The 19445-nt window shown below is 43.3% G+C and overlaps 2 protein-coding genes across 6 annotated transcripts in view, besides 12 other annotated features; one reads left to right on the forward strand and one right to left on the reverse strand.

The window, feature by feature from the left end:
- Window positions 2378-2910: an enhancer, noted in NCBI's record as "NANOG hESC enhancer chr4:83337083-83337615 (GRCh37/hg19 assembly coordinates)". NCBI's record gives its function as "activates a minimal SCP1, AML or CMV promoter by ChIP-STARR-seq in naive H9 embryonic stem cells {active_cell/tissue: H9 hESC(naive)}" and the evidence as "EXISTENCE:reporter gene assay evidence [ECO:0000049][PMID:30033119]".
- Window positions 8527-8616: an enhancer, noted in NCBI's record as "active region_21661". NCBI's record gives its function as "activates an Ori minimal core promoter by ATAC-STARR-seq in GM12878 lymphoblastoid cells {active_cell/tissue: GM12878}" and the evidence as "EXISTENCE:reporter gene assay evidence [ECO:0000049][PMID:35858748]".
- On the reverse strand, window positions 9012-16910 carry HNRNPDL (heterogeneous nuclear ribonucleoprotein D like). 3 transcript variants are annotated; one of them, NR_003249.2, is made up of 9 exons: window positions 15696-16673; window positions 14726-14894; window positions 14466-14627; window positions 13881-14012; window positions 13638-13752; window positions 12911-13081; window positions 12485-12577; window positions 12011-12115; window positions 9012-11331 (listed from the first exon to the last, which is right to left on the reverse strand). NR_003249.2 is itself a non-coding variant. In NM_031372.4 (8 exons), exons 1-7 carry the CDS (start codon window positions 16136-16138, stop codon window positions 12507-12509), a joined length of 1263 nt encoding a protein of 420 aa, NP_112740.1. In that variant the 5' UTR covers window positions 16139-16910; the 3' UTR covers window positions 9017-11331; window positions 12485-12506. The 3 variants fall into 3 exon arrangements, 2 of the variants coding, with proteins under 2 accessions (NP_001193929.1, NP_112740.1); NM_031372.4 differs by lacking the exon at window positions 12011-12115 and having other exon boundaries at window positions 9017-11331; window positions 15696-16910; NM_001207000.1 differs by lacking the exons at window positions 12011-12115; window positions 12911-13081.
- Window positions 15359-15528: a silencer, noted in NCBI's record as "silent region_15529". NCBI's record gives its function as "represses an Ori minimal core promoter by ATAC-STARR-seq in GM12878 lymphoblastoid cells {active_cell/tissue: GM12878}" and the evidence as "EXISTENCE:reporter gene assay evidence [ECO:0000049][PMID:35858748]".
- Window positions 15574-16369: an enhancer, noted in NCBI's record as "NANOG-H3K27ac-H3K4me1 hESC enhancer chr4:83350279-83351074 (GRCh37/hg19 assembly coordinates)". NCBI's record gives its function as "activates a minimal SCP1, AML or CMV promoter by ChIP-STARR-seq in naive and primed H9 embryonic stem cells {active_cell/tissue: H9 hESC(naive and primed)}" and the evidence as "EXISTENCE:reporter gene assay evidence [ECO:0000049][PMID:30033119]".
- Window positions 15749-15808: an enhancer, noted in NCBI's record as "active region_21662". NCBI's record gives its function as "activates an Ori minimal core promoter by ATAC-STARR-seq in GM12878 lymphoblastoid cells {active_cell/tissue: GM12878}" and the evidence as "EXISTENCE:reporter gene assay evidence [ECO:0000049][PMID:35858748]".
- Window positions 15839-16078: a silencer, noted in NCBI's record as "silent region_15530". NCBI's record gives its function as "represses an Ori minimal core promoter by ATAC-STARR-seq in GM12878 lymphoblastoid cells {active_cell/tissue: GM12878}" and the evidence as "EXISTENCE:reporter gene assay evidence [ECO:0000049][PMID:35858748]".
- Window positions 16129-16218: an enhancer, noted in NCBI's record as "active region_21663". NCBI's record gives its function as "activates an Ori minimal core promoter by ATAC-STARR-seq in GM12878 lymphoblastoid cells {active_cell/tissue: GM12878}" and the evidence as "EXISTENCE:reporter gene assay evidence [ECO:0000049][PMID:35858748]".
- Window positions 16370-17165: an enhancer, noted in NCBI's record as "NANOG-H3K27ac-H3K4me1 hESC enhancer chr4:83351075-83351870 (GRCh37/hg19 assembly coordinates)". NCBI's record gives its function as "activates a minimal SCP1, AML or CMV promoter by ChIP-STARR-seq in primed H9 embryonic stem cells {active_cell/tissue: H9 hESC(primed)}" and the evidence as "EXISTENCE:reporter gene assay evidence [ECO:0000049][PMID:30033119]".
- Window positions 16370-17288: a biological region, named in NCBI's record as "NANOG-H3K27ac-H3K4me1 hESC enhancer GRCh37_chr4:83351075-83351870".
- Window positions 16449-16848: a silencer, noted in NCBI's record as "silent region_15531". NCBI's record gives its function as "represses an Ori minimal core promoter by ATAC-STARR-seq in GM12878 lymphoblastoid cells {active_cell/tissue: GM12878}" and the evidence as "EXISTENCE:reporter gene assay evidence [ECO:0000049][PMID:35858748]".
- Window positions 16969-17288: a silencer, noted in NCBI's record as "silent region_15532". NCBI's record gives its function as "represses an Ori minimal core promoter by ATAC-STARR-seq in GM12878 lymphoblastoid cells {active_cell/tissue: GM12878}" and the evidence as "EXISTENCE:reporter gene assay evidence [ECO:0000049][PMID:35858748]".
- The window catches only part of ENOPH1 (enolase-phosphatase 1), a 30588-nt gene continuing 28180 nt past the window's right edge, over window positions 17038-19445 (forward strand). For 2 of the 3 annotated variants that reach the window (NR_120457.2, NM_001292017.2), the window contains exon 1: window positions 17038-17332. Coding sequence is in view for 1 of the 3 variants with exons in the window: in NM_021204.5 (NP_067027.1) it covers window positions 17278-17361 (84 nt within the window). In the remaining 2 variants the exon portion in view is untranslated. Of the gene's footprint in view, window positions 17362-19445 lie in introns of all 3 variants that reach the window. The other variant, NM_021204.5, reaches the window with a different exon arrangement.
- Window positions 17529-17628: an enhancer, noted in NCBI's record as "active region_21664". NCBI's record gives its function as "activates an Ori minimal core promoter by ATAC-STARR-seq in GM12878 lymphoblastoid cells {active_cell/tissue: GM12878}" and the evidence as "EXISTENCE:reporter gene assay evidence [ECO:0000049][PMID:35858748]".

The raw sequence follows: 19445 nt of genomic DNA on the forward strand, positions 1-19445 counted from the left end.
CCATGCCCAGTCCCAATATTTTATTTAAAAAGCAAGATGTCAGGCCGGGTACAGTGGTTCACACCTGTAATCCCAGCACTTTGGGAGGCCGAGGTGGATTGCTTGAGGCCAGGAGTTTGAGACCAGCCTGGGCAACATGGCAAAACCCAGTCTCTACAAAAAATACCAAAAACAAGCTCACATAGTGGCGTAGTGGAACATTCCTGTAATCTCAGCTACTTGGGAGGCTGAGGCAGAAGAATCGCTTGAACCTGGGAGGCGAAGGTTGCAGTGAGCCAAGATTGTGCCACTGCACTCCAGCCTGGGCAACAAAGCGAGACTCTGTTTCAAATAAATAAATTAATTAATTTAATTAAATATAGGCACTTACACCTATAAATTTTCCTCCATGAACTAACTTAGCTGGATCCCATAGTTTCATATGCTGTTTTAGTTTTTATCCATCTCAAATTACTTCTCGGTTTCCCCTGTATTTTTTCTTTGACTTATTGACTATTTTGGAGTTTGTTGTTTAATTTCCACATACTTGTGAATTTCTCAAATTTCCTTTTGCTAAGTCCTTATTTGATTTCATTGTGGTCACAGAAAATACTCTGTATGACTTCAATCTTTCTAAATTTATTCAGGCTTTTTTTAAAAATAATGTGTCATACAGCTTATGCTGGAGAATATTCCATGTCCATTTGAAAAGAATATGTGTTCTGCTATTGTTGGGAGAAGTGTTTTATAGATGTCTATTAGGTCTGGTTGTTTTATAGTGTTGTTTGAGTCTTCTGTTTCCTTGTTGATTTTCTGCCTGGTTGTTCTATCCATTATTCAAAATGAAGTTTCATTGTTTACAACTGTTGTTCTTGAATTCTGTCAATTTCACTTAATGTGTTTTCCTTAAATGCTTTGAAGCAATAAGACTACAAGCCTTTGTCGCGGGGCTCTCTGAGTGTATTGGGGAATGACTTTGATGCTCCAGCAGGCTGGTAGCAATTCTGAGTTAGCCTTCTCTTCCTGCTTGTGTAGACCCTCAAGGTCAAGCAACAGTGAGAGATTAGCCCTTTCTCAGCTGTTTCCTGGGCATGTGCACAGGTCTGCCTGTAAGTATGGCCTTCTAGAGTCTCAAGAATGTGTTGGAGATTTTTAAAGCCCTCAATGGATAATTTATTTCCCAGTTTTTATTTCTTGGTTTTATTTGTCAGTCTCTAATTAGCCCTAACTCATATTGCCACCTCAGATGCGTGTGATGTTAAACAATTGCCATCGAATGTTTTTGAGACTCAATCTAGGGCTATGGCTTTTTGCATTGAGTGAGCTCTGAGGTGAGATAAGGACAAATTTGAGTATAGAGCTTGTTTCAGTGAATTATTAGGTAGGTCAAATAGTTGCAGTTCTATAGGAATTGGTTTTTGTGGGGTGCTCTAAATCCGTTGTGTCCCAGTGGTTCCTAAGCATCTGGTTTTTGTATTCACTGTAGTTGCAGAGATGTTGGTTTTCAAGGCTACCATGGAGCTGGAGAGAGGAGGATGAGAATACACAAAGCTCCCTGTTCTTACTGAAATAAAACCCCCTTTTTTTTTTAGGGCAGGTGGTGCGGATAGTCTCATTCTGTGGTCCTGGCAGGCTGCAGTGCAGTGGCATGATCATTGCTCATTGCAGCCTCTAACTTCTGGTCTTAAGCGATCCTGCCTCAGCCTCTTGAGTAGCTGGTACTACAGGCACGTGCCACCATGCCCAGCTAATTTTCTTTTTTTAGACGGAGACTCGCTCTGTCACCCAGGCTGGAGTGCAGTGTCGCAATCTCGGCTCACTGCAACCTCTGCCTCCCAGGTTCAAGCGATTCTCCTGCCTCATCCTCCCGAGTAGCTGGGACTACAGGCCCGAGCCACCACGCCCAGCTAATTTTTTGTATTTTTAGTAGAGACGGGGTTTCACCGTGTTAGCCAGGATGGTCTGGATCTCCTTACCTCGTGTTCCTCCCACCTCAGCCTCCCAAAGTGCTGGGATTACAGGCGTGAGCTACCGTGCCAGGCCAATTTTCTTTTTTTTTAATTTGTTGTAGAGACAGGATCTCTCTATGTTGCCCAGGATACTCTTTAATTTCTGGCTTCAAGCGATCCTCCTGCCTCAGCCTCCCAAAATGCTGAGATTGTAGGCATGAGCTACCACACCTGGCCTTGAAATAAAGCCTTTGAAAAAAAGTACTCCTTGGATTGTTGCAAGACTATTATCCAGAGTTCTGAAAATGTTGATTTTGACCATTTTTGCCACTTCTCCTCATTGCTTTTGAGAGGTGAAGCCAGCTGGGCTTCTGGGTCCGGTGGGGACTTGGAGAACTTTTCTGTCTAGCTAAAGGATTGTAAACACACAAATCAGCTCTCTGTGTCTAGCCAAAGGTTTGTAAGTGCACCAATCAGCACTCTGTAAAAACTGATCAATCAGCACTCTGTAAAATAGACCAATCAGCACTCTGTAAAATGGACCAATCAGCAGGACATGGGCAGGGCCAAACAAGGGAATAAAAGCTGGCCACCCAGCTAGCAGGGGCAACCCGCTGGGGTACCCTTCCATGCTGTGGATGCTTTGTTCTTTCGCTCTTCACAATAAGTCTTGCGGCTGCTCACTCTTTGTAACACTGACTGCGAAGGTCTGCAGCTGCATTCCTGAAGTCAGTGAGACCATGAACCCATGGGGAGGAACAAACAACTCTGGATGCCCGTCGCCTTTAAGAGCTGTAACACTCGCTGTGAAGGTCTGCGGCTTCACTCCTGAAGTCAAGCGAGACCACGAACCCACCAGAAGGAAGAAACTCGACGTATCTGAACATCTGAAGGGACACACCATCTTTAAGAACTGTAACACTCACCACGAGGGTCCGTGGCTTCATTCTTGAAGTCAGCGAGACCAAGAACCCACTGGAAGGAACCAATTCTGGACACACTTTGACAGAGCAGATTTTTGGATGTCCTTACTCTGCTATTGTGGAAGTGCTTCTGGTTAATATGTTTGTTAAATATCCATTCTTATTTCCCATGGGTTTTTTGTTTGTCTTTGTTTTAGCTAAGAGTGATTTTAATAATGACTATTTTGATATCTCAGGCTCTGCAGGGGGGTTGGAAAGCCACACTTGGAAACGCTCATGCAGGAAATATTTCCAAAATCACACAAGAACTGGATTCATAAAGACACCTGTTTCTGCTGCTGCTGCTGCTCTTGCTACACACAGATGCTGCTCCTTTCACCATTATCAGTGCTAGATACTGGATGTTGTTGCTAGAACCACTGCTCCTTCTGAAAAGTCATTGCCACCATGGCTGCCCCCTGTCCCAGCATTGATTCCACAAAATTCCTACTTCTTTTGATTCACCCTTCAGGCTCAAAGTCCAATGCAAGAGAATTCTGATCGATAGAGCTGAGTTAACATGTCTATGCTCTGGGTATATGGGAGCCTGGGAAAGTGATTTTTAAATTTCTATATTGGGTGGTACTCTTGGTACATCACGACTCATAGGATGGGAATTCTTCAAACATGGGAAATAACTCTCTATATTCCATAAAACCTGTACAATGTCATAATAAAAATGATGTACTTAATTTTTAAAAAGTTTTAATTGACACACAATAATTGTACATATTTATTGGATACAATATGATGTATTAATACCTGTATACATTGTGTAGTGATCAATTCAAGGTAATTAACATATCCATCATCTCAAACATTTATCATTTCTTTATGGTGGGAACATAAAAATCCTTTCTTCTAGCTATTTTGAGATATACCTTATTTTTGACTATAGTCACCCTACTGTAAAATAGGATACCAGCATTTATTCTTCCTAATTGTAACTCTGTACCCGTTGACCATCCTCTTCCCATCCCCTCCTTCTCCCTACCCTCCCCAGTCTCTGGTAACTGCTGTTCCATTAACTACTTCTGTGAAATCAACTTTTTTAGATTCTACATGTAAATGAGAACATGTGATATTCATCTTTCTGTGTCTGGTGTATTTCCCTTAACATAATGTCTTCTAGGTTCATCGATGTTGTCACAGATTTTGCTTTTATCTTTTTTTTTTTTTTTTTTTTTTGAGATTGAGTTTCACTCGTCATCCAGGCTGGAGTGCACTGGCACGATCTTGGCTCACTGCAACCTCCGCCTCCTGGTTTCAAGTGATTCTCCTGCCTCAGCCTCCCGAGTTGCTGAGACTACAGGCGCACACCACCACACCTGGCTATTTTGGGTTTTCGCCATGTTGGCCAGGCTGGTCTCAAACTCCTGACCTCAGGTGATCCACTCCCCTTGGCTTCCCAAGGTGCTGGGATTACAGGTGTGAACCACCTCGCCTAGCCCTACCATATTTTTTTTATCCATTCTTCTGATGATGGACACTTAGGTTGATTCTATATCTTGACTATTGGGAATAATGTTGCAATAAACATGAGAGTGCAGATATTTGTTTGACATATTGATTTCATTTCCTTTGGATATATACTCAATAATGGGATTGCTGGATCATATGGTAGCCCTGTTTTTAATTTTTTGAGGAGCCTCTATATTGTTTTCCATAATGGCTGTACTAATTTATATTATCACAGTGTGAAAGGGTTCTCTTTTCTCCACATTCGTTGCCCACACTTATCCTTTTTTCTTTTTTCTTCTTTTTTGAGACAAAGTCTGGCTCTATTGCCCAGGCTGGATCCTTTGTCTTTTTGATCATTAATTTGCACTTTATATTCTTGCTTACTATAATAAATGTTGCTTACCATAAGTCTCTTTTAATCTTAGATCCACCTACATTTCCCACTTCTTTTCATGTCATTTACTTGTTGAAGAAATGGGATATTCTTATGAATTTTCCACATTTTAGATTTGGATGGTTGCATCTTCATGGTAGTTTAACATGTGCCTTTATTTCTTTTCCTGATTACTGGTAGTTGGTTCTAGATGTGGCTGCTTTTGTTTGTTGTTGATTTTTTTGGTTTTACCATAGTGCATCTTCGTGGAGATTTTTATTTATTTTTCCTAATTGCAATTGCAATTTGTAGGGTATATTATATTTGTAGATTCATTTGTCACTTCTGGAAAATTTTAAGCCATTACCTCTTGAAATGTTGCCTCTTACTCTCACTTCTAAAACTCTATTTTTTTTTTTTTTTTTTTTTTTGAGACAGAGTCTTGCTGTGTCGCCTAGGGGCTGGAGTGCAGTGGCACGATCTTGGCTCACTGCAACCTCTGCCTCCCAGGTTCATGCGATTCTCCTGCCTCAGCCTCCCGAGTAGCAGGGATTACAGGCATGCACCATCACACCTAATTTTTGCATTTTTAGTAGAGACAGGGTTTCACCATATTGGCCAGGCTGGTCTCGAACTCCTGGCCTCAAATGGTCTGCCCGCCTTGGCCTTCCAAAGTGCTGGGATTACAGGTGTGAGCCACCATGCCCAGCCAGCGTTTTTGATATTTTAAAAGCCTGTTAGACGTTACATATCATTAAAAAATGTACACAAGTTAACAGAAATATTCTTGATTTGGCTGCCATTAAATTAACTTGGTATGATGCGAATTATCACATTGTAGTTCTGACAGCTATATATCTTTGATTAATAGAAATGTTATTACATAATGAGAGCAATATATTTGACAAATAAAGCCATTCAAAACACATTGTCTATGGAGAGAAGAAATTTAAAGGGTTTCCTGGTGATGAAATATTGAAATTATTCTATAATACCACTTAACCCCCACTGCTCCCACCCTCCTGTCATTCCTCTGCTTGCAGGGTCTATGAAAAACATATATGCCCCAGATGTTTCATGGTTCAAGGGCAATCTAAATAGTGAGTCAATTTCATAGGCCATGTCTTTCATGGGAAGAGTAGTTGCTCCAGATTATCCAGGCTCAAATTCCATTAGAGGAACAAGAATGGATCAATTGTAATATAATCCTACTTTGCTACAATAGAGCTCAACACTCAGAAACCAAGTGTATTAAAGATTACTGACCAGTCTTAATGCTTAAAGTCAAGTATGCCTGATAGGAGTTTTATAGTTTAATAGACTGCAGAATGTAATCAGCATTGGTGCATTCAATTAGCTGACTTCCTCATTTTAAAATCAGGGGATTAAAGCTAAAGCTGGGCATGGTGACACATGCTGGTAATCCCAGCACTTTGGGAGGCCTAAACGGTAGGATCACTGGAGCCCAGGAGTTCGAGACCAGCCTGGGCAACATAGTGAGTCCCTGTCTCTAAGATGATAAAACAAAAAAAAAAAAAAAAAAAAAAGGTTTAACTTGGGCGATATGGCAAGACCTCATTTCTACTAAAAATCAAAAAAAAAAAAAATTAGCTAGGTATGATGGCACATGCCTGTGGCCCCAGCTACATGGGAGGCTGAGGTGGGAGGATTGGTTGAGCCCAGGAGGTTGAGGCTGTAGTGAGACGTGATGGCATCACTGCACTCCAGCCTGGGCGACAGAGTGAGACCCTGTCATCAATAAAACAATCCCCTATGAGTGTTCACCAGCCAATACAAATACCCAGGTGGAAGGTGGAGAACATATGAAGAAACTCCCTTTGTGGAACCTCATCAATTACAACAAATTCAATCAATTTTAGTCAGTTTGTTACCATAAAAGCCAACAGCTTCAAGAGCATTTTAAAACAGTTTTCTAAGTCTCTAATTTTCCTGAAACTACATTGAAAATATTTATAGACATGCATTTTTTTGGGTTTGAAGAGAATTCACTTTTGGTCAGACTCCCAAAAGGAGATTACCATTGGAAGAGTATGAGAAAAACTTGCCTGCAAGTAAAGTTTCTCACATTTTCTAGCTTGTGCTGGTCTTTAAGAAACCAAAATTAGCCTTTTTGGTTATTTGGATTTTAAGTGACAACATTATGTTGAATATACTTTTTTTTTTTTTTTCTTTTTTTGAGATGGAGTCTCACTCTGTCGCCCAGGCTGGAGTGCAGTGGCGCTATCTTGGCTCACTGCAACCTCTGCCTCCCGGGTTCACAACATTCTCCTGCCTCAGCCTCCCAAGTAGCTGGGATTACACTCGCCCACCACCACACCCTGCTTTTTTGTATTTTTGGTACAGATGGGGTTTCACCATATTGGCCAGGTTGGTCTAAAACTCCTGACCTCGTGATCCGCGCGCCTCAGCCTCCCAAAGTGCTGGGATTACAGGCATGAGCCAGCCACTGCGTCTGGCTGAATATACTTTTTCAAACTACACTTTAGTCTCACTACTCTCCAAGATTATGATACAGCTCTCCGAATGGGTATATCTCTTTGAGTGGTCTCTTTGAAGTGGTACATGTCTTTAAAGGGTAAAACCAGAGATTAAACTGACACTTAAGAATAGCACAATTCCCGCGGGGCACGGTGGCTCATGCTTGTAACCCCAGGACTTTGGGAGGTCGAGGCGGGTGGATCACCTGAGGTCAGGAGTTCGAGAGCAGCCTGACCGACATGGCGAAGCCCTGTCTCTACTAAAAATACAAAAATTCTAGCCAGGCATGGTGGCAGATGCCTGTAATCCCAGCTACTTGGGAGGCTGAGTCAGGAGAATCGCTTGAACCCGGGAGGAGGAGGTTACGGTGAGCCCAGATCACTCCACTCACTCCAGCCTGCACTCCAGCCTGGGCAACAAGAGTGAAACTCCGACTCAGGGAAGGAAAGAAAAAAAAAAAAAAAAGCACAATTCCAACCTCATTCTTGTTGGGGCGGGGGGAGGGGGAGGGAAGAGCAGCAGAAGTTAAGGTCTTCAGAATGTTCAGCATTACCTTGTAATACCCACAACATCAGTATATCCTTTCCTACCGTTTATAAAAAGTAGTAAAGTCTAAGGTGTATTTTTATTTTTTGCTATTAACTAAATCTTGCTGAAATTCCACATCTAATCTATTTCAAGACAAATGTAAGACCCCAACCAATCCTAAAAGAACAGCCTATATATTTATAAACAATATTTTCTAGTGACTATAAAAAATATATAAATTTAGATTGTTTTTGCTTAAAGTTGAAACCACAGATTAGATGTCAACTCTATTTCGCTGAAAGTTTAAGGAAAGGGGGTTTTCTATGAATGACCCTTTCTAACTACTCAAGAATCAATTCAAATGGTATACACACACATCTATAACTAAAAATTATTCATACACTTACATGTTTTTGAATCAACTTTTAAAAAAATTAAAGACAGGGTCTCACTCTGTTGCCTAGGCCAGATAAGAGTGCAATGGAGCGACCATAGCTCAACTGCAGCCAACACACCTGGCCTTAGTCAACTTTTTTTTTTTTGACAAGTTCTCACTCTGTTGCCCAGGCTGGAGCACAAATCTCACTACAACCTCTACCTCCTGGGCTCCAGCAATCCTCTCACCTAAGCACAGCACCACGCCCGGCTAATTTTTCTATTTTTAGTAGAGCTGGGGTTTTGACATATTGGCCAGGATGGTCTTGAACTCCTGGACTCAAGCCATTCACCTGCCTCGGCCTCCCAAAGTACTAGGATTACAGGGATGAGCCACTGCGTGCGGCCAGCTTAGTCAACTTTTTAATTGGTGAAGTTTAGCATCCTGTGATTTTTTGAGACAGGGTCTCACTTTGTCGCCCAGGGTGGAGTGCACTGGCGCAAACATGACTCACTGCACACTTCACCTCCCTGGTTCAAGCAATCGTCCCGCCTCAGCCCAAGTAGCTGGGACTACAGGTGTGCACCATCACATCGAGCTAATTTTCGTAGTTTTTGTAGAGACGGGGTTTTGCCATGTTGCCCAGGCTGGACTCAAGTAATGTACTTGCCTTGGCCTCCCAAAGTGCTTGGGATTACAGGCATGATCTACAGCACGCAGCCTAGCATCCTGATTGACATTAAATCAAATCTTGGTACTGGAAAGTAGCTTAATTGTTCAGATATGCCCTTGTATTAAGTTTTGTGAAGATTAGTGAGGATCTCTGCCATTATGAAAATAAAGATCCACTGAAGAGTAATGGAATAAGCTCTGCTTATCCACGCTAGCATCCCAACAGACATCTCATTTTAATAGTCCTCATCTTATAAAAGTGAGATTACAGATTAACATGTTAACCAAAGAAATTACTAAGGTGTTTTGTTAGGATAACATCACACAGAATTTGGTCTGAACAATGCAAAAGGCAAATACGATGTATAAAAACATATACAAACCGAGCATTTGTTATAGGTACTTTAGAATTAATTTCTATCCTCTTCCCGAGGATAACATCACACAGAATTTGGTCTAAACAATGTAAAAGGCAAATACGATGTAAAAAACATACACAGAGTATTTGTTATAGGTACTTTAGAATTCATTTCTATCCCCTCCCCAATAAACTTGTCCAATTACTTTGTTCTAAATTAATCCTTGGGAACGAGATCTTGATAGTAGCTTCAGTTCATCCAACCTAGGACACTTAGCCTTAGAGTATCTGTTCAAATTTGCATCAGTTGGTGAACTGATAGACCCTGAAATCTGAATTAAATCTAGAGTTCAAAGCCCAAATCTAGAGTTCAAAGCCCCTGCAAGAAAAACCAATTCTCACTCCCCCTTCAATTCTTTGCAAAACATCTCAATCATCTCTAGATGTAGTGTATTTTTTCTCAGTCATACATATCAAGACTTGATTAAAAGTTTGGATTTTGTTTAAAAAGGCTTTATTCATTTTTTGATCAGGGAAAAGGACAATCTCAATGTCAACTCGTCACCTAATCATAAATTTGAACTTACAGGATTCACTACCCTAGACACCGCACCTACTGACAACACAACTTAAAAATGAACTTACTTCCATTCCCTAAAGTTGCATGTTGAATGAACAGAATCCCTTCTAACAGCCAACATTGGTACTTGGCCTAAGTTTAAGAATAGCAAAACAGCAGCAAAAAAGAGGCCAAGAGCATTATAATGTGATAGCCCAGGAAGTAGAATCATTGTTAAGAAAGTTGCAGGCACCAAATTAAAAAAAAAAAGGGAGGGCTCATGAGCATAAGAAACTTACCAGTTTTGTGAGATCACCCGTTGTGTGAGATCAACTACTCTGCCTGTGAACACGTATGCCAATCCCAGTAAATAACACTGAGGCCAAGGTCCCAAAATCCAACTACACTGAATGCAAAATCCAAAGCTTTTTATTATTCCAGGTCCTCTGAAACCTGGATATAAAACGGATTCTTTTCAATGCACCCAGAGGGTCCACTGTAATGACTCAGTCACATTTGTAATGACTTAGTCACATTTGTAATGACTTTGTCATAACCAAGATACCTTTTCCACTATTCCTTTCTGAATATGTAAATATTTAACTACTTAGTTCATGCACTGTGTCAAAAACTAGATTTACTATCAAGACTTTTTCTAAACTCACAGAGCATTAACAGCTAATACAACTTCCTCAGGATGCCCAAACAGAAAACATTTTGTTCAATCTTGTGGCGGCTCTGAGAAAACACAACTAAATCTTATTTTGCCACTATTTTAATTTTTCGACCAAACTCATACCTTTCTACCAAAATCCTTGAGTTGTAACTACTTCCAATGCTCTTAAACCATAGCTCCTACCAGTTTTACAGTGCTCCTTTTGTATCTGAACTTTTATCAAGAATTACTCATTGTGTTATGATTACAAAGCTTTTTCTAGGTGACCACTGATTAAAGCCAAAGTAATCAGCAATTCAAAAATGGCTTTCCAGAGACAGGAACAAAGTAAAAGGAGCTACTAACAATTTTATTACAATCCAGAAGAAATATGGTCTACTAGAAAGCTTCTACTAATCACAACACTTATGTCTTCCTTTCAGGACAGTCTTCAGATAACCAGAAGGGAAAGAACATTGTTCAAAGGTGTGGTAGAAATCTCAGTTACAGGGAGAAGATGAAGCCTTAAGAGCATAAAATACACCTACAAATTGGAGAAGAGGGTGACGCTGGCTGGCTATTTATAAAGGACCACAGTTTCTCTGTATGGACCAATACTCTACAAAATCAACTGTGCCTTAATTATTGCTTATTTTAAATTACATTTTTTACAGAGCTATGTAGTACCTGACGCAGAAAAGCAATCACATAAGGAAGCATTTATTTGAGGTTTAACATGAAATGATACAAATAAAATGTGTATAAACAAATCCACATTGAGTCATAACACAGATAGCAAAGGACAAAGTAAAAACAAAGAAAACTAATTGGCAGCTATATACAGTTGGACACAATGGTGTCTTGTACACTAGAAAGTCTTTTACAAAATAATCATCTTAGATCAACAGAAGACCAATCTTCAATGTCGTCCTGCAAGATGGGTTACTTTAACATCTCCTCCTAAAAACAAAAACAAAATACCAGTTAGATTTGTGCAACTCTGACAAGCTTTTAAAGGTCCACTTTCATGAATTGTTTTAAGTCCTCACTTTATTTTCTTCAATAATTAAAGATCATATGCATATTTATTGGTAAAATACAGTTTGGGTAGTCAATAAACTCACCCTGGAGTTCCCAAATGACATTAAATTCAAATCTATTCAGGAAAGAATCTGGGAATACAACCTTCCCATATTCAGAGGTTCAACTATGCTAGATTAAGGTCTACTAGAAGCATCTCTAGTAACCCAAGTAAAATGCTATCACAAACACCAATTTCTAATAAGTTTATTACAAGAACATAAATTGATCTGTGCATATGATCTTTAATTTATATCCCAGATTTAAAAGTTCTTGTTTTGGTTTGTAGATTTCACTATTAGCTATAAAAAGAAAAAGCAAGCATTAAATCTTAAAAGAATGAACACTTAAAATGAGGCTCCACAATTGAAATACAACACTAAACAGAAGACCAAAATGATTAAGCTGTAAAAAGGCATTTATGTACTTTAACTCCTGTAAAAAACCATTTAAGTTAAGTTTAGACACTTAATCTCCAAAAAGATTAAAAATGAAGCCAAAGTCTGAAGTTTTCCACTTTAATCTTTACGCTGGTACATGAAGTTGGAAGAGACCATACCACAGGACAGCGTTTTCTGGTGTATGCCTTGCGCTCTGCCCGCAACGTGCGACCCCCAGAGATAGACGTGGTCAGGGTGACACACGGCCTGCAATGAAGTTCCCGCTGGCGGGTACAAACAAGGTATAATGTCAGAGTTAGAAGACAACATTCTTGTTTTCCTTAAGTTGTACCCATTTCAGTACTTTACCTGTTAATAGTTCTAAAATGTTTAATTATTCCTCTAGACCACCTGGTACACAAAAGCAAACAGAAAAACTCTTAAGTTTTTCTGCAATACTAAAGAAAGTGAGATAAGACTTTAAAGTTAAAGATCTATAGACACTTTAGGCAAAACAGGCTCATAAAGCAATTAAAAAATCAACAATTTAGTAAAAACAGGCTACATAGTATTTTGTTTTTACGTTTCATTTGTCTATTGATCTTTAAATTAAATTAGACATTTCTACTGTTTTCCTGTACTCTTATACACACCTGTTTTCTCCAATGTTCTCCTTTAGTATGGCTGGTAATTGTTTTGGTGATTGCCACCCCCTCGAGATGCCTTGCCATAAGTGCTCTGTTGGCCTATTTTGAAAACACAGAATTCTCATTAAGATAGTTTTCTACAAAACTTTCTTTACAAACACAAACTATTAAATCTACAAATCTTTGCATGCTAAATAAAAAGTATTAAGATATTTTAGCACCCATTAGATGCTACTCATAAATCATACATCCTAGTTCATTTATAACCACCAGTCTATGTTAGTATAATCATCCTATGATTGTAACATGCCTCAAACACTTAACTCCGAACACTTTAATGGAAAGCCCATACACACAATTTCAGAACAGGATTGTATGTTAACAATGAATTTTAATACCACTGCTTTATAAAATTAAGTTAAATATTCTTACCACTGTAGTCTGCATATCCCTGTCCATATCCATAGTTCCCATAGTTATACCCAGTATAATCATATCCGCCATAGCCACTATAGTTTTGATCACCACCATAGGCACTATTGTAATTTCCATATCCTTGATCATAATAGTTATTAAATCCTTGGTTCCAGTTTTGGCCCTGACCTGAAACAATGCACAATGATTGTTAGGAAACAACTTCTGACCCCCAATTCTAACATAAAATGATGCGTTCTTGTCTCTCACTCTGCAAATCTTAAAGGGCAGAATGGACATATATATTGCTATCTGCTTGAAAAACTATTTTTCCAGCTGTTATAAAAAAGGAGGCAGAAAGTCCAATTGTGCCAGTATCAAACTTCCTAAACTTAATGGAAAATCATTCAATTTTCCATTAAAGCCGAAGACAGGTACACTGTTCTGTTTAAAACAAGGACTCCTGCCCAAGAAAACCTATCACACCACGGTGTATCATGTAATGGTACACTTTTCCTATCAGTGATGACACTAATTGTCAAAGTGGCCACACTTTTAACAGTTTTTTGAAACCAGTGAGCTCACAACAAAAAACCACCACACACAACCTCCACTAAGCTGAACAGTCCCCCCTCCGCTGGAATGGTTTTAAGTTTAAAGTTTTGCTTTGGTACAGGACTACTCATATTCAGCAGTATACAGCTTAAATAAACCACGGAGTCATATTTCAAGAATTAAGTCTCACCTCGGCCACGACCCCTCGTACCACCTCGTCCACCAGCTGCAGCACCTCTTCCACCTTTTTGTTGTTGCTGTTGCTGCCTATATACCTCTTTGGGTTGTGCAACTTTGATTTCACACTATAAACAAAAAACATGAAAGTATAATTTTTACCGAAGTTCTAAAATTAAATCATTTTATTTTTCTCCACATCAAGAAATTATTTCAATTATTTAAATTTTCATTTAAAGTGCTTAAATGGCTTTACCTTCCCAGAACCAATTTGATGGTATCTGCTTTCTAACAATTTTTTTACTGGCTCTTCATCAGTATATGTGATAAAACAAAATCCTCTTCTTTCATTTGTTTTTGTATCCATGGGAAGTTCAATATTTTCAATCTGAAATCGAGATGCACACTCAACGTCATCCCATAATTGTAAAACGTTACAGTGTCAGAATGCCAAAGGCCTTTTCAGGCTTCAACTTAAACATGTTATTCTTATCGGGTGACTTCTATACAGACATCACTGCTTTATGATCAACATCAGCCTACAGTGATTTGTTGTATATTTGAAGCATTGAGAGAAATTAATATTATTTTGTACCCAAAGATGCCACTAGTTAACAAGTCCAAACACTGACCACATTTAAGTGCCCATGTTTTAGCTAAATTAGATAGTTGGGTTTCCATCAGAGCAGCAATGAAATCAAGGTACAGTCACTGGAAGCGACTTGAGCAGTCATTTAATTCTACTCTTACAGGAAACATGAATCTGCCCTGCATAAATCGGACAAGGATTGAACATTTTATAAACACATCAAGCTTAACATGTGTAAACATAATCACACACCTCTCCAAAGGCTCCAAAATATTCTTTAATTTGTTCTTCAGAAGTATCCGGGCTCAATCCACCCACAAAAACCTTTTTGGGAGGTTCTTTCCCTTTTAAAGCTTTGGCCCTTTTGGGATCTATCAATTTGCCATCCAGTTTGTGTTCTTTCAGTTCCAAAACCTACAAGACAGATTTATTTAATCTGACAGCACCATATAACCCCCAGAAAAATTTGCAAAACACCACAAAAGCAGCACAATGCAAAACATAGTTCCTACCTTATCAACACTAGCAGCATCTTTGAAAAGCACAAATCCAAATCCTCTTGATCTCCCAGTGACTGGATCTGTTTTAATTGTGCAGTCTACAACTTCCCCAAATCGAGACAAGTACTCTGTCAGATCTTTTTTGCTTGTATCCCAGCTCAAGCCTCCAATAAACATTTTACTAGAAATAAAAGTGTTTTTAAAAAAAATTAACAATAACTCAAATGATCCTTCAGTTCTGGAATTAAATCGTGAAATAAAAACAGGGACATTTACCCCCTAAGTGTAGGCAATTTAATTCATGTTTACATTTAATCTATGTCACACAAAAATCCCAATATCCCAACGAAGTTACTCAAACCAGCGGACAGCTCACTGTCCGCACTACATAAAGCAAAGCTCAAAAGAGACCAATAAAATACAGTAAAGGTTCTGCCCAGATTCCTTTAGGTAGAAGGCACAACTTCCTAGATGAATCCCTCACATCTTATCTTACTTAGGTCCATCTTCGTTCTCAGCTGTCAAGCCAACGTTCCACCCAGAGAACTCATCAATCATAACACGTTTTGTGAATCTGGGTACCAGTCGCCTGCTTGTGCCCCAACTCAGTCCTCTAAAACTCTTCCCAGGAAAACCGCGCCGAGTGGTAACAGAGACACAATGAAGAGGCGGCGGCAGCTGCAGCGTGCAGCGCTGGGAGGCCGGCCCCTCCCCCCCGGGTCCCACGCGGCGCCTGCGCGCTCGGGACACAGACGCCGCCGCCCTCCTCCTCCAACCCCTCCGCCCTTCCCCCACTCTTCCCGGGTCTCTCCAGTCACCCCCTCGATCTCTTACTTTCCTCTTCCCTCCAATCTAGTGGGGCCCAGAAGGCACGCGGGGAATCGACTCTGAGAAAGAATGGGGGCAGCGCGCGGCTCACGAGGAACGAAGGGCGCGTGCGGCGCGCTGGGGGAGGGGGAGCGGGGGAAGAAGCGTGCGGTACCCGTCATCCTGCTGATTCTTGCTCGCGTTGATCTTGGATCCCTCTGCGAATTCCTCTATATTGCTGTACTCGTTCATATCCTCCATAGTGACGGAGCTGTCGGCAGGGGGGTGCTGGCGCGCAGTCCGGGTCGCGGCAGCAGCGGCGGCGGAGCGTTGTATGGAGCTGGATTTAAAATGGCGGCGGAAGAGATCCGGGCGCCGCCTGCGCCCTCCCTTTATAGCCGCCCCGCCCGCCAATCGGGAGGGCTGCTGGGCGGTGACGTGGCGCTGGGCCCGGCGCGCCCCCTGCCGGGCGGAGCTGGGAGCGAGCGAAGGGAGGAGCGGGGCTAGCTGCCGCGGCGGCCGCGGCCGCCAATGGGAGAGGCTGCGGGAGGCTAAAGTAGCGGGAGCGGAGGGGAACAATGGCGGCGGCACATGGGAAAGCCTGGGCGGGACCTCCATCGCGGCCCTCCCGGCAAGGAGAGAGGCCACGCGTGAGGGGACGCGGGCTTGGGAGAAGAGAAGAATCAGAAGAGAAAAACGAAGGGGCGTAAATTCCTGGGGTCAGCAGTCCCGAGCAGAGCCGACGCAGGGCCACAGTCCCTCTTGCCTTGGGAGCCTTTGTCTCTGGCGTCCGGTCCAGCCCACTCCTACCAAAAAGCCGTCAACCCCGCCTTTTTCTGCCCTCGGTTCGCCAGTGCGGAGCCGCTGCGGCGGCCGCTGCTACCGACTAGCACCGCGGCCAGTCTGCTCCGGAAAAAGGCGGACTGCGCCCGGCGCTGGCGACTGAGGCGGCGAGCGCGCTCGCCCGCCGCGCGCACGCGTGTTTTGTCCTCGAGCTGGCAGGAACCAGCCGAACAGGAAGCGGGCGCGCGACGGCTCCTCCGGGCAGCGCAGCGCGGGCGCCTCTTCCACTGTGACCACGGGCGCGCGGGCCAAGGGGGCGCGGCGGGGCCTCCCGGGCTGATCGGCCGAAGCCCGGGCCCCGCGCGGCCTCTGGCGGGCTGACGCCGGGAGGAGGGGCGGGGGCTGGCCAGATGACTGTATCTATGCAAAGGCGGAGGCGGTGGGCGGGGAGGGGGCTGGATTCAGTAGAGGGCAAGGGGCACTCACATCCCCGGCGCGCCACTCGCGGGGCTCCTTTCTGCACGTGCCCCGGGCCTCTCCCGCTCGCTCAACCTGTCTGCGGAGGGCGCGCTCTCGCGCACCCTGCTCCCGCGTTCGCTTCTTTGTTCCCGCCCACGCGAGGCCCATTTTGACGGATCCAGTTCGAGGCCTGACGGCGGCCAATCGGCGCTGGCGCCTTCACCCTCCCCGCCCCGCCGAACCCGTCAAGGGCCGCCCCTTTTCCTGCCCACGTGGTCTCGGGCTCCTGCCCCGTCCTGCTCACGAGTTCAGGGCTCCTGGGCGGCCGCCTTTTCCAGTTCCAGGTGTGCAGAAGTGTCCTCTCCCCACGCGCGGCGGGCTGCACTTGGTCGCTGGCTCCGAGATCGCGCGGGGCCGCCGGAAGCCCAAGACGGTACCGGGGGCCGCAGCCGCAGCCGGCGCCGCCCTCCGCCCTCCCCAACAGCAGGCCGAGTCCCGTAGCATCCGGTAGGGAAATGGTCGTGCTTTCGGTCCCCGCCGAAGTCACCGTGATCCTGTTAGATATCGAAGGTACCACAACCCCGATTGCTTTCGTGAAGGTGAGGGGCGGAAGGGAGCGGGGATGTTACTTTTCCTTAAAAACAGTTATTATTTTTTCTAAGTATTTCAGGCCTTGCATTGGAGACGAGGGTTAGGAGAGGCGGTGTGGCTGCCTCTTGTGTGGAATGGGGAGGAAGGAGAGAAAGCCTGCGGTGGGTTGCGGGGATGCTTTTCCTCGCGACACTAGCTTCTCCCTCCCCCGCCCTTGCGCTTGGTTGGATCCAGATGGGTGGGAAGGGATGGAAGTTGACGCTAAAAATCACCGAAGGGCAGGTAAGCCGGGGCGGGGTGTGACGGTGCGGGCCTCGCCACCCGGCAGGTGTGCACCCGGTCGCTTCCGCAGGTGAGCGCAGCCTTTCTGCTCCGTCGGGCCTGGTGTGGCAGCGGCAGCGATTTAATGGTCCTTAAAGCTTCCGATCTCAAAATGGAAAGACTGAAGTGTCAAGATGACTTTTCAGGTGGCCCTGGTGTCGGGCAATCAAGGTTCCTCTTCGCCCCTTCCCACTCTTGCTGTTAGTGGCCAAACTGCACAGTGTATTATTTTACTCTGTTAGGCGCTGTGGTCCATAGCGCTGATTTTTTGAGCTATAGGACACGTCTAGATTCCGTTCACTTTCCTCAGAAAACCACAGAAGCTTGAAGCTCTTATCCAGAGCATTCCTTCTAGGATGTCACTGTGAACCAGCACTTGTCTGCACCTCAGCTTGCAACTTAGCGGATTCCTTCTTTATTCTTTGTCTGTTAGAATAAGCAAATATGAAATGTTACTTTAATTTTTGAAAGAATTCCTCGGGCCTTGTCTTTTTATTTGGCTCCCTGAGGTTTAAGAATTCATTGCAGATACAAGTACTTCTTAGAGGTGCTTGCATGCACAATAATAGTCGAGATATACAAAGTATATTACCAAGTAGGAAAAATCCATCTTCCAAGAAACTGAGCAGCTTGGGTTTTAAATTCTATTTTAGTTTCCATTTTTAAAAAAAATTATCTGTGAATAAGGCTTTTTTTTTTTTTTCTTTGAGAGTCTCACTCTGTTCCCAGGCTGGAGTGGAGTGGAGTGGTGCAATCACAGCTCACTGCAGCCTCTACCTCCTTGGGCTTAAGGCATCCTCCTGCCCCAGCCTCTCGAGTAGTTGGGACTGAAGGGAGAGCCACCATGCCTGGCTAATTTTTGTATTTTTTGTAGAGACGGGGTTTCGCCATATTGCCCAGGCTAGTCTGGAATTCTTGGCCTCCCAAAGTGCTGAGATTACAGGCATGAGCCAAGGCGCCTGGCCTGAATGAGTTTCTTGATGTAGGTTATAATATAAAATCCATGTACACTTTTAGGACACCAAACATAACAACCTTTAAAATTCTTTTAGAAGAATCACAGTACCTTGACATCTTAGCATAGGTTCAGAAGAAATCGAGTTTAGCATTTTCTCCACGGTTTTTGTTTTTGTTTTGAGGCGGAGTCTCGCTCTGTTGCCCAGGCTGGAGTGCAGTGGTGTGAGCTCAGCTCACTGCAACCTCTGCCTCCCAGCTTCAAGCGATTCTTCTGTCGCAGCCTCTCCAGTAGCTGGGATTACAGACATGTGCCACCACACCCAGCTAATTTTTATATTTTTAGTAGAAGAGGGTTTCACCAGGCTGGTCTCAAACTCCTGACCTCAAGTGATTCACCCACCTCAGCCTCCCAAAGTGCTGGAATTACAGGCGTGAACCATGGCACCCGGCCTCTTCCCCACGTTTTGTTTTGTTTTGTTTTGTTTTGTTTGAGACAGAGTCTTGTTCTGTCTCCCAGGCTGGAATACAGTGGTGCAACCTCTGCTTCCGGGGTTCAAGCGATTCTGGTGCCTCAGCCTTCCGAGTAGCTGAGATTACAGACGCGCACCACCACGCCCGGCTAATTTTTGTATTTTTAGTTGACCAGGCTGGTCTGACCTCAGGTAATCCTCCCGTGTCGGCCTCCCAAAGTGCTGGGATTATAGGCGCGAGCCACCGCGCCTGACCTTCCCCCACGTTTTTAATCACACCAGAGACCTCTGCGGAAAATTTCAGGACAAATACTGATGATTGATTAATTTCCTTTTTTTTTGGA

Source organism: Homo sapiens, chromosome 4, assembly GCF_000001405.40.
Source record: "Homo sapiens chromosome 4, GRCh38.p14 Primary Assembly".
Taxonomy (NCBI): Eukaryota; Metazoa; Chordata; class Mammalia; order Primates; family Hominidae; genus Homo; species Homo sapiens.

Coding starts and splice junctions, on each gene's coding strand:
- HNRNPDL (NM_031372.4), bottom strand. CDS start 16,138: ATGGAGGTCCCGCCCAGGCTTTCCCATGTGCCGCCGCCATTGTTCCCC. Junction 14,013..14,465: donor ATTTTGGAGCCTTTGGAGAG/GTGTGTGATTAT, acceptor TCTCGATTTCAG/ATTGAAAATATTGAACTTCC. Junction 13,082..13,637: donor TACGAGGGGTCGTGGCCGAG/GTGAGACTTAAT, acceptor GCATTGTTTCAG/GTCAGGGCCAAAACTGGAAC.